This window comes from Homo sapiens, chromosome 10 (assembly GCF_000001405.40).
Source record: "Homo sapiens chromosome 10, GRCh38.p14 Primary Assembly".
Lineage (NCBI taxonomy): Eukaryota > Metazoa > Chordata > Mammalia > Primates > Hominidae > Homo > Homo sapiens.
This window is the reverse complement of record NC_000010.11, coordinates 23,222,292-23,234,850: the sequence shown is the minus strand read 5'-3', so window position 1 is coordinate 23,234,850 and position 12,559 is coordinate 23,222,292. Positions and strand designations below refer to the sequence as shown.

At 38.0% G+C, this 12,559-nt stretch overlaps 1 protein-coding gene across 6 annotated transcripts in view; it reads left to right on the top strand.

The window, feature by feature from the left end:
• The window catches only part of C10orf67 (chromosome 10 open reading frame 67), a 142,882-nt gene that overhangs the window by 109,947 nt on the left and 20,376 nt on the right, over nucleotides 1–12,559 (top strand). For 5 of the 6 annotated variants that reach the window (XM_017016031.2, NM_001365862.2, XM_047424968.1 and 2 more), the window contains 2 exons: nucleotides 11,033–11,107; nucleotides 11,193–11,253. In XM_017016031.2, coding sequence (XP_016871520.1) covers nucleotides 11,033–11,107; nucleotides 11,193–11,253 — 136 coding nt within the window. Of the gene's footprint in view, nucleotides 1–11,032; nucleotides 11,111–11,192; nucleotides 11,254–12,559 lie in introns of those variants that run through there. The other variant, XM_047424970.1, reaches the window with a different exon arrangement.

Here is a 12,559-nt window from a genome sequence, read left to right as displayed (position 1 = left end):
AGTAGAGACAGGGTTTCACCATGTTGACCAGAGTGGTCTCAATCTCTTGACCTCATGATCTGCCTGCCTCAGCCCCCCAAAGTGCTGGGATTACAGGCGTGAGCCACTGTGCCCGACCTTATTTACCTTTTTTTTTTTTTAGCCTTGACTTGAAACTCATTATTTAACTTATATTTGAAGTTCAGAGGTACATGTGCAGGTTTGTTATATAGGTAAACTTGTATCATGGGGGTTTGTTGTACAGATTATTTCTTCAGCCAGGTGTTAAGTCCGGAACCCATTAGTTATTTTTCCTGATCTTCTTCCTCCTCCCATCCTCCTCCCTCTGGTAGGCCTCAATGTAGTTGTTTCCCTCTATATGTCCATGTGTTCTCATCATGTAGCTCTCACCATTTATAAGGGAGAACATGCAGTATTTGGTTTTCTGTTCCCGCATTATTTTGCTAAGGATAATGGCCTCCAGCTCTACCCATGTTCCTGCAGAGGACAAGATCTCATTCTTTGACATGGCTGCATAGTATTCCATGGTGTGTATGTACCACATTTTCATTATCCAGTATATCATTGATGGGCATTTAAGTTGATTCCATGTCTTTGCTATTGTGAATAGTGCTGCAATTAACATATGTGTGCATGTGTCTTTATGATAGAACAATTTATATTCCTTTGTGTATATGCCCAGTAATGGGATTGCTGGGTCAAATGGTAGTTCTGTTTTTAGGTCTTGCAGGAATCGCCACACTATTTTTCACTGTGGTGGAACTAATTTACATTTCCACCAACCATGTGTAAGTGTTCTTTTATAATAACATGACTAGATTTTAGTTTTTAAAATCTCACCTTCATTTATTTACACTTAATTGGCAAACTGAAACTATGTGAATTTATCAACATAGGTGACATGTGTGATATATTTCTGGCATCCTGCTCTTTTTGTTTGTTTCCTGGCTCATGTAATATGAACTGCATTTTACTTGTTTTTATTTCCTATATTGTAATGCTAAACTTTAAGGTAAACTCAAGTACCCACTACATTTCTGAAATTATCAAAACCAAAAACCAAGTAAATTTTGAGTCTTAAAACATTCTGCAAGACAAGAAGATATATGTGTTTTTGTTCCCTGAACTTCGTCTCAGCCCTAATTTCATCAATATATTCCCCTCTTCCTTCTAGTCTTTGTTAATTTACTCTTTGTAGAGAACCACATCATGATTATGTTATTCTTTTTATCACACGAAAGTATTTTTGGTTAACTACTTTCTGCTTTCAACTCTCCAACTACTTGAATAGCAATTATTTATACTTACATTTATATGTTTATGTTTAACCTCACCAGCTACTTTTTAAAAATCATGACTTCCACAGGTCTTGAGTTCTTAGTTTTGATTTATTTCTTATAAACTGGACCATGAATTTGAGTCTTTTCCTTTTGTTCTGGAGGAAGTATTCTACCCACTTTGCAATGTCTTGACCTGACTAAGGCCAGTTTAATTTTTGTTTGTTGCTAATTAGCCCACCTTCCCCATTTTGGCAATTTGTATGTTGTGTTTTTTAACCTTGAAATTTAAAAAGATGTCATCAGGATATGAGTAAACATTATTTTATTAATTTCTCTTGAATAAAATGAGCCTCTCTGATAGTGCTTTTCTTCAACTCAGACATGTTTCTTATGTACACTTTTCTTTTTCTTTTAAAGACAGAGTCTTCCTCTGTCACCCAGACTGGAGTGCAGTAACATGATCATAGCTCACTGTAACATCAAACCTCTGAGCTCAAGTGATTGTCTTACCTCAGCCTCCTGAGTAGCTGGGACTGCAGGTGTGCACCATCACACTTGGCTAATTTTTTTATATTCTTTAGAGACAAAGTCTCACTATGTTGCCCAGGCTGGTCTTGAACTCCTGGCCTCAAGTGATCCTCCCGCCTCAGCCTCCCAAAGTGCTAGGATTGCAGGTATGAGCCACCATGCCCATTATGTACACTTTTAATGACTGCTGTTGTGGGATCTGGGATCTGTTTTTGTTTCTTTTTCAGAAACACTATTGTGGGTCAGATACCTATTTTTCTGTCCTCCATAGTTAATGACATTCTCTTTCAAGTCATGTTATCCTCTTTGTTCTTTTCCTTGACATTTTTTGGAAACTTTTCTGGTTTGTACCTCCCTTCAAAGTTTCCTGAAGAGGTTTCAGGTACGCTGGGATATTGATTCTCCTTGGTCCTCCAAGTGGCAGGGTTTAGGGCATTACTAGAGTAACCTGAAGCTCTGATCCAATAGTCTAAGCCCATGAGCAACTTTGTTGATTTATCCCAGTGCTCTGTGTGAATAGTGTGTTTTTATGTATACCGTGGCAAACTAAATGCCAGGGAACATTGCTCTACATTCTTGTTCTGTTCTCTCCATTTCACCTCTACTCTTTGCTATCTCAAATATTTATTTTAATTATTGCATAGTTAGTAATTTTCTTATGCTTTATGCAAATATTTTTATCCTAGCCTTTTCTCAGCCTATTCTTTTATCCAGGGAGTAAGGTTCCCCATTCTTAATCTCTTAATTTGGGGTCAAGTCTAAGTAGAGAAGAGTTTATTTTGTCTCGAGTCTAAATTATGTTGTTTCATGTTTTTTTGTATGCATGTTTTTCAAACTGTTAAATAACCCATGAATAACAAAAGGATGAATGAAAACACATACACACAATTTAAAGATTGATAATAACACGAATGCCCGCATTCCCAAGAGCAAGGCCATAGCTAGATTATTACCATGCCCCAGAAGCCCACCAATTGCATTCCTCTTCATTTCCTCCTGGAGGGAACTATTGCTCTAATTTTTTCTTAATTTTCTTCATAGTTTTATCACTTGTGCATGTAGTTCTAAGCGGTATGTTGTTGAATTTTGCCGGTTTTTAAGCTTTCTAGAAATAAAAAATAAGTAAATGAAAAATGCACACATTGTTCTGTGATTTTGCTCCATTTTCTCAACATTATAATTCTAAGATTCATTCATGCTGATGCTAGTGGTTGTGATTCACCCATTGCAAATATTCTAATACACGAATATACCACAACTTATTTACCCATTCTGCTGCTCATCAACACTTAGGTTGGTTCTCACTTTTTACTATTATGAGTATTATTGCTCTCAGCATTCTTCTAGTTTCACCTGATACACAGATACAGGAGCTCTTCCAGGTTTTATACTCATAACAGAATTGCTGGTCATAAGAGTACTGGTAAGTTCACTTGCTATGGGTAAGCTGCTGTGATTGCAACAACAAAAAATACACTGACTTAAATAGATGGAAGGCTGCTTCATTCATGTTACAGTGAAGAAGCAAGTGGCTCCAGGCAGGATAATGCCCCATGAGGAGCAGTACTCCATAAAGTGGTACACAGGTTCCTTCAATCTTACTGCTCTGACATCTCCTAAGATATTTTACTCACCCACATAAATAAAGGTGGTCAACTTCATGTCCATGGGTTCTAGACTTTCTCCAGAAAGAGAAAGTCCAGGGCAAGAATATTTATCCTTAAGGATATGACCCAGAAATTGCACATATCACTTCTACTTGTGTCCCACAGGTCTGATCCTAGACCTAGAACTGCATCCAATTGCAAGACAGACTGAGAAAGGTGCTCTCTGTCTATGCAGCCAAATACCTAACTAAAGCCCAAGAGTTTGAGACCAGCCTGGGCAACAAAGTGAGACTCTGTCTCTACAAAAAATAGAAAAAAAAATCAGCTGGGCATGGTGGCACGTGCCTGAGACTGAGCTGGGAGGATAGCTTGAGCCTGGGAGGTCAAGCCCACAGTGAGCCATGATTGTGCCTTTGCCCTCCAGCCTGGGCAATAGAGCAAGACCCTGTCTCCAAAAAAATGAAAGGAGGAGATTAGATATTGAAGGACAATAAATAGCCTCTGCCACAGAAGCTAATGCCAGATAGTTTTCCAAAGTAATATTACTCTGACCCTCTAACCAGGAACAGATGAAAGTTTCTAGTGTTCCATATGGTCTTCAGCACTGATATTGCCAGACTTCATCATTTTTGCCAACCTGTTATTGTATAATGCTTACTCATGGTTTTGGAGTTTACGTGTATGTGTGTGTTTATAATTTTTTTTGCCTTTTCCTGATTACTGATGAAAGTGATCATCTTTTTAAATGTTTATTGACCATTCAGGTTTCCTCTTTTAGGTACTGCAGGTTTCAGCCTTTTGATTCTATTGGTTTATTTCACATTTATTTTTTCATAGGAATTATTTATATAACTTGGATACTAATCCTTTACCAGTTATATGTATTGCAAATGTCTTCTTTCAGTTTGTGGATTAAGTTTTTAATCTTTTTCTGGCTTTTGTAATAAATAAATGTTCTCAATATTAATGTTATTCTGACTTAATCTTTTCCTTTTTGTCTTTACATTTTTTTCTGCCTTCTTTAAAAAGAGTTCATCCAATATTTAATCACAAATGTATTATTCTCTATGGTCTTTAAACTTTTGGCTTGTTTTGCTTTTCATATTTACAAATTTAATCCATTTAGAATTGATATTAGTGTATAGAGAGATAGACATCTGGTTTCATTTCCTTTTATTATAAATAACCATCTGAAGTATCCATTTAATAAAAAGTCTGTCTTCTCCCTTGATATATAATTCCACCTGTCATTATTAAGGGCTCATATATATGAGTCTATTCTGACTCAATCTGTTTCACTGTTTTTTTTCCTGCACCAATATAACACTGATTTAATATCTAAATCTTATCTGATAAGGCTAATGCTCATGCCCTGTTTTGCAAGAGTGCCCCAGCTTTATTGGATCTTTGCATTTCCATGTAAATTTTAGAATCGGATTGTCAATATTCACAGAAAAAAACAAAACAAAAGAAACAAAACAAAACAAATTTAATTGGTATTTCAATTAGAATTATGTTAAATCTACAGTTCAATTTAGGCACAATTGGCATCTTGATCACTGAGTCTTCTAATCTGTAAATATGTTATATATTTTGTTTAGGTATTATTTCAATAGAGTTTTATAACTCTATAGAAGTCTTGAAAGTACCTTTTTTTAGATGTAATCTTAGGTACCTTGTATTTTTATGCTATTATACTTACATGATTTGCATATTACTCTAAGTAGTTTGTAATCAGTTTTTGCCACATGTAATTTTAGTCTGTATTATTAGATGCATACAATTTTATAATTGTATCTTCCTGGGAAATTGAACATTTTACCATTATGTAATGACAAACTTTTTTTATTATTATTATACTTTAAGTTCTAGGGAACATGTGCATAATGTGCAGGTTTGTAACATATGTATACATGTGCCATGTTGATGTGCTGCACCCGTTAACTCATCATTTACATTAGGTATATCTCCTAATGCTATCCCTCCCCCCTCCCCCCACCCCATGACAGGCCTCGGTGTATGATGTCCCCCTTCCTGTGTCCAAGTGTTCTCATTGTTCAATTCCCATCTATGAGTGAGAACATGCGGTGTTTGGTTTTTTGTCCTTGTGATAGTTTGCTGAGAATGATGGTTTCCAGCTTCATCCATGTCCCTAAAAAGGACATGAAATCATCCTTTATATGGCTGCATAGTATTCCATGGTGTATATGTCCCACATTTTCTTAATCCAGTCTATCATTGATGGACATTTGGGTTGGTTCCAAGTCTTTGCTATTGTGAATAGTGCCGCAGTGAACATACGTGTGCATGTGTCTTTATAGCAGCATGATTTATAATCATTTGGGTATATAGCCAGTAATGGAATGGCTGGGTCAAATGGTATTTCTAGTTCTAGATCCTTGAGGAATCGCCACACTGTCTTCCACAATGGTTGAACTAGTTTACTGTCCCACCAACAGTGTAAAAATGTTCCTATATCACCTCATCGTCTCCAGCACCTGTTGTTTCCTGGCTTTTTAATGATCACCATTCTAATTGGTGTGAGATGGTATCTCATTGTGGTTTTGATTTGCATTTCTCTGATGGCTAGTGATGATGAGCATTTTTTCATGTTTTTTTGGCTGCATAAATGTCTTCTTTCGAGAAGTGTCTGTTCATATCCTTCACCCACTTTTTGATGGGGTTGTTTTTTTCTTGTAAATTTGTTTGAGTTCTTTGTAGATTCTGGATATTAGCCCTTTGTCAGAAGAGTAGATTGCAAAAATTTTCTCCCATTTTGTGGTTGCCTGTTCACTCTGATGGTAGTTTCTTTTGCTGTGCAGAAGCTCTTTAGTTTAATCAGATCCCATTCATCAATTTTGGCTTTTGTTGCCATTGCTTTTGGTGTTTTAGAGATGAAGTCCTTGCCCATGCCTATGTCCTGAATGGTATTGCCTAGGTTTTCTTCTAGGGTTTTTATGGTTTTAGGTCTAACGTTTAAATCTTTAATCCATCTTGAATTAATTTTTGTATAAGGTTAAGGAAGGGATCCAGTTTCAGCTTTCTATATATGGCTAGCCAGTTTTCCCAGCACCATTTATTAAATAGGGAATCCTTTCCCCATTTCTTGTTTTTGTCAGGTTTGTCAAAGATCAGATGGTTGTAGATGTGTGGTATTATTTCTGAGGGCTCTATTCTGTTCCATTGGTCTATATCTCTGGTTTGGTACCAGTACCATGCTTTTTTGGTTACTGTAGCCTTGTAGTATAGTTTGAAGTCAGGTAGTGTGATGCCTCCAGCTTTGTTCTTTTGGCTTAGGATTGTCTTGGCAATGAGGGCTCTTTTTTGGTTCCATATGAACTTTAAAGTAGTTTTTTCCAGTTTTGTGAAAAAAAGTCATTGGTAGCTTGATGGGAATGGCATTGAATCTATAAATTCCCTTGGGCGGTATGGCCATTTTCACGATATTGATTCTTCCTATCCATGAGCATGGAATGTTCTTCCATTTGTTTGTGTCCTCTTTGATTTCGATGAGCAGTGGTTTGTAGTTCTCCTTGAAGAGGTCCTTCACATCCCTTGTAAGTTGGATTCCTAGGTATTTTATTCTCTTTGAAGCAATTATGAATGGGAGTTCACTCATGATTGGGCTCTCTGTTTGTCTGTTATTGGTGTATAAGAATGCTTGTTATTTTTGCACATTGATTTTGTATCCTGAGACGTTGCTGAAGTTGCTTATCAGCTTAAGGAGATTTTAGGCTGAGACGATGGGGTTTTCTAGATATACAATCATGTCATCTGCAAACAGGGACAATTTGACTTCCTCTTTTCCAAATTAAGTATCATTTATTTCTTTCTCCTGCCTGATTGCCCTGGCCAGAACTTCCAACATTATGTTGAATAGGAGTGGTGAGAGAAGGCATTCCTGTCTTGTGCCAGTTTTCAAAGGGACTGCTTCCAGTTTTTGCCTATTCAGTGTGATATTGGCTGTGGGTTTGTCATAAATAGCTCTTATTATTTTGAGATATGTCCCATCAATACCTAATTTATTGAGAGTTTTTAGCATGAAGGGCTGTTGAATTTTGTCAAAGGCCTTTTCTGCATCTATTGAGATAATCATGTGGTTTTTGTCTTTGGTTCTGTTTATATGCTGGATTACATTTATTGATTTGCATATGTTGAACCAGCCTTGCATCCCAGGGATGAAGCCCACTTGATCATGTTGGATAAGCTTTTTGATGTGCTGCTGGATTTGGTTTGCCAGTATTTTATTGAGGATTTTTGCATCGATGTTCATCAGGGATATTGGTCTAAAATTTTCTTTTGTTGTGTGTCTGCCAGGCTTTGGTATCAGGATGATGCTGGCCTCATAAAATGAGTTAGGGAGGATTCCCTCTTTTTCTATTGATTGGAATAGTTTCAGAAGGAATGGTTCCAGCTCCTCCTTGAACCTCTGGCAGAATTTGGCTGTGAATCCGTCTGGTCCTGGACTTTTTTTGGTTGGAAGGCTATTAATTATTGCCTCAATTTCAGATCCTGTTATTGGTCTATTCAGGGATTCAACTTCTTCCTGGTTAAGTCTTGGGAAGGTGTATGTGTCCAGGAATTTTTCCATTTCTTCTAGATTTTCTAGTTTATTTGCATAGAGGTGTTTATAGTATTCTGTGATGGTAGTTTGTGTTTCTGTGGGATCGGTGGTGATATCCCCTTTATCATTTTTTATTGCATCTATTTGATTCTTCTCTCTTTTCTTCTTTATTAGTCTTGCTAGTGTTCTATCAATTTTGTTGATCTTTTCAGGAAACCACCTCCTGGATTCATTGATTTTTTGAAGGGTTTTTTGCGTCTGTATCTCCTTCAGTTCTGCTCTGATCTTAGTTATTTCTTGTCTTCTGCTAGCTTTTGAATGTATTTGCTCTTGTTTCTCTAGTTCTTTTAGTTGTGAGGTTGGGGTGTCAATTTTAGATCTTTCCTGCTTTCTCTTGTGGGCATTTAGTGTGATAAATTTCCCTCTACACACTGCTTTAAATGTGTCCCAGAGATTCTGGTATGTTGTGTCCTTGTTCTCGTTGGTTTCAAAGAACATCTTTATTTCTGCCTTCATTTTGTTATGTACCCAGTAGTCATCCAGGAGCAGGTTGTTCAGTTTCCATGTAGTTGAGTGGTTTTGAGTGAGTTTCTTAATCCTGAGTTCTAGTTTGATTGCACTGTGCTCTGAGAGACAGTTTGTTATAATTTGTGTTCTTTTACATTTGCTGAGGAGTGCTTTACTTCCCACTATGTGGTGAATTTTGGAATAAGTGCAATGTGGTGCTGAGAAGAATGTATATTCTGTTGATTTGGGGTGGAGAGTTCTGTAGATGTCTATTAGGTCTGCTTGGTGCAGAGCTGAGTTCAATTCCTGGATATCCTTGTTAACTTTCTGTCTCGTTGATCTGTCTAATGTTGACAGTGGGGTGTTAAAGTCTCCCATTATTATTGTGTGTGAGTCTAAGTCTCTTTGTAGGTCTCTTGTTGACAGTGGGGTGTCAAAGTCTCCCATTATTATTGTGTGGGAGTCTAAGTCTCTTTGTAGGTCTCTAAGGACTTGCTTTATGAATCTGGCTGCTCCTGTATTGGGTGCATATATATTTAGGATAGCTAGCTCTTCTCGTTGAATTGATCCCTTTACCATTACGTAATGGCCTGCTTTGTCTTTTTTGAACTTTGTTGGTTTAAAGTCTGTTTTATCAGAGACTAGGATTGCAACCCTTGCCTTTTTTTGTTTTCCATTTGCTTGGTAGATCTTCCTCCGTCCCTTTATTTTGAGCCTATGTGTGTCTCTGCACGTGAGGTAGGTCTCCTGAATGCAGCACACTGATGGGTCTTGACTCTTTTTCCAATTTGCCAGTCTGTGTCTTTTAATTGGAGCATTTAGCCCATTTACATTTATGGTTAATATTGTTATGTGTGAATTTGATCCTGTCATTATGATGTTAGCTGGTTATTTTGCTCGTTGGTTGATGCAGTTTCTTCCTAGCCTTAATGGTCTTTACAATTTGGCATGTTTTTGCAGTGGCTGGTACTGGTTGTTCCTTTCTATGTTTAGCACTTCCTTCAGGAGCTCTTTTAGGGCAGGCCTGGTGGTGACAAAATCTCTCAGCATTTGCTTGTCTGTAAAGGATTTTATTTCTCCTTCACTTATGAAGCTTAGTTTGGCTGGATATGAAATTCTGGGTTGAAAATTATTTTCTTTAAGAATGTTGAATATTGGCCCCTACTCTCTTCTGGCTTGTAGAGTTTCTGCCGAGAGATCCGCTGTTAGTCTGATGGGCTTCCCTTTGTGGGTAACCCGACCTTTCTCTCTGACTGCCCTTAACATTTTTTCCTTCATTTCAATTTTGGTGAATCTGACTATTATGTGTCTTGGAGTTGCTCTTCTCGAGGAGTATCTTTGTGGTGTTCTCTGTATTTCCTGAATTTGAATGTCGGCCTGCCTTGCTAGGTTGGGGAAGTTCTCCTGGATAATATCCTGCAGAGTGTTTTCCAACTTGTTTCCATTCTCCCCATCACTTTCAGGTACACCAATCAGACATAGATTTGGTCTTTTCACATAGTCCCATATTTCTTGGAGGCTTTGTTTCTTTTTACTCTTTTTTCTCTAAACTTCTCGCTTCATTTCATTCATTTGATCTTCAATCACTGATACTTTTTCTTCCATTTGATCGAATCGGCTACTAAAGCTTCTGCATTCGTCACGTAGTTCTTGTGCCATGGTTTTCAGCTCCATCACGTCCTTTAAGGACTTCTCTACACTAGTTATTCTAGTTAGCCATTCGTCTCATCTTTTTTCAAGGTTTTTAGCTTCTTTGCGATGGGTTCTAACTTCCTCCTTTAGCTCGGAGAAGTTTGATCGCCTGAAGCCTTCTTCTCTCAACTCGTCAAAGTCATTCTCCGTCCCGCTTTGTTCCATTGCTGGCGAGGAGCTGAGTTCCTTTGGAGGGGGAGAGGAGCTCTGATTTTTAGAATTTTCAGCTTTTCTGCTCTGTTTTTTCCCCATCCTTGTCGTTTTATCTACCTTTGGTCTTTGATGATGGTGATGTACAGATGGGGTTTTGGTGTGGATGTCCTTTCTGTTTGTTCGTTTTCCTTCTAACACTCAGGACCCTCAGCTGCAGGTCTGTTGGAGTTTGCTAGAGGTCTACTTCAGACCCTGTTTACCCGGGTATCAGCAGCGGAGGCTGCAGAACAGTGAATATTGCTGAACAGCAAATGTTACTGCCTGATCGTTCCTCTGGAAGCTTCGTCTCAGAGGGGTACCCAGCCATGTGGGGTGTCAGTCTGCCCCTGGCTAATTTTGGTGGCTTCCAACCAGTTGCAAGTAGTAAGTCTCAATTGTAGGGACAGTCAAAAGGAAGTAGAGTCAGAAGAGATACTAAGGAAAATCGTTTTCTTAAATTTTCTTTCAAAGTGGTCTGAAGAAGAAAGAGGCTCTATCCCATTGGAATGAAGAAAAGGATTTCCGCAGCCATATTTGAGCAAATAAGTGACAAGCATAGTTTCCATATCTTGGTCAACTAAAGGCTGGAGAACATTAACGTCCATTTGATTTGACTATTATTTCCTCCTGATAACACAGTACATATCTTTTGTGTCTTTCAGAAAGTAAAACCCTTATTAGTGCAGTCTAGAACGACCATGACAGCTATATCCTCTTCAAGTCATTGTACATCTTCAGTAAGTAGCTTATTTTTCTTTATTAAATATTTACTGAGTTAATATTATTCAACTTAAGTAATGAAAAGTTTTGGTTCACTTACAGATAGACGGTAAGCATGTGGATGTAGTCAGTGATCAGGCAGCCCTTCAACTTTCACCAAAAGGTAAGAATCATTATTGTTGGAAATGAGGTTCACACCAGAATGGCTACTTAGTCTAGATTAACTTTGCTTTTCTTTTTTACCCTGAGGTATTTGGTATTCTGGGTGAATGCATGACTTTTTTCAGCCACTTTATAAAATTATTGCACAGATAAACTGAATAAAAGAATACTAATATATACTTCTGACTACTGATCACTGCTAATTGAAAATCAATCTATGCCAGGCCCAATGGCTCATGCCTGTAATCCTAGCACTTTTGGAGGCTGAGGGAGGATCACTTGAAACCAGGAGTTTGAGATCAGCCTAGGCAACATATAAGACTCTACCTCTACAAAAAAAAATACAAACATACAAAAATTAGCCAGGCATGGTGGCATGAACCTGTAGTCCAGGCTAATCAGGAGATTGAGGATTTGCTTGAGCCCAGGAGGTCAAGGCTGCAGTGAGCCAAGATCAAGCCACTGTACTCCAGCCTGGGTGACAGAGTGAGACCTTGTCTTTAAATTTAAAAAAAAAAATAGTTATACTTCAAAACCAGAGACTGCCTTAGTTGGAATGTCATTTCTTTTTTTAAAATTAAACTGCCAACAAACCTGAAGCTCCTGTTAAATTCCTATTTTTTTCCAACTTAATAATTAGAAGAAAAGTAGACTGGGCCTGGTGGCTCACACCTGTAATTCCAGCACTTTGGGATGCTTGAGTCCAGGAGCTCTAGACCAGCCTGGGCAACCTGGCTGTCTCACCCTCCTGAGTAGCTGGGACAACAGGTGAGTACCACCATGCCCAGCTGATTTTTGTTTGTTTGGTTGATTGGTTGGTTTTTTTACAGCTGAGATTTTGTCGTGTTGCCCAGGCTGAAATTATTTCTAAAGCATCTTAATGTACTCACATTTTATTGTAAACATGTGGATTAATGAATTTAGCTGGCTTGAAATTTTTTTTAACTTTAGGTTCCAGGGGTACATGTGCAGATTTGCTGTGTAGATGTATCGCATGATGCTGAGGTTTGGGCTTTGATGGAACTCATCACCCAATTAGTGAACGTAGTATGGGATAGGAAGTTTTTCAACCCTTACCTTCCTCTCTCCCTCCTTTTGGAGACCCCGGTGTCTGTTATTCCCATCTTTATGTCCCTGTGTACCCAATGTTTAGCTCTTATAAGTGAGAACATGCAGTATTTGGTTTTCTACTTCTATATGAATTCACTTATGGCCTGCAATTTTATTTAGGAAGTTTAATTAACCATAGAGTTCCATTCCCTAAAAATTCAATTGAGGATTTTGCCTTGAAAATTGACTTTCCCTAG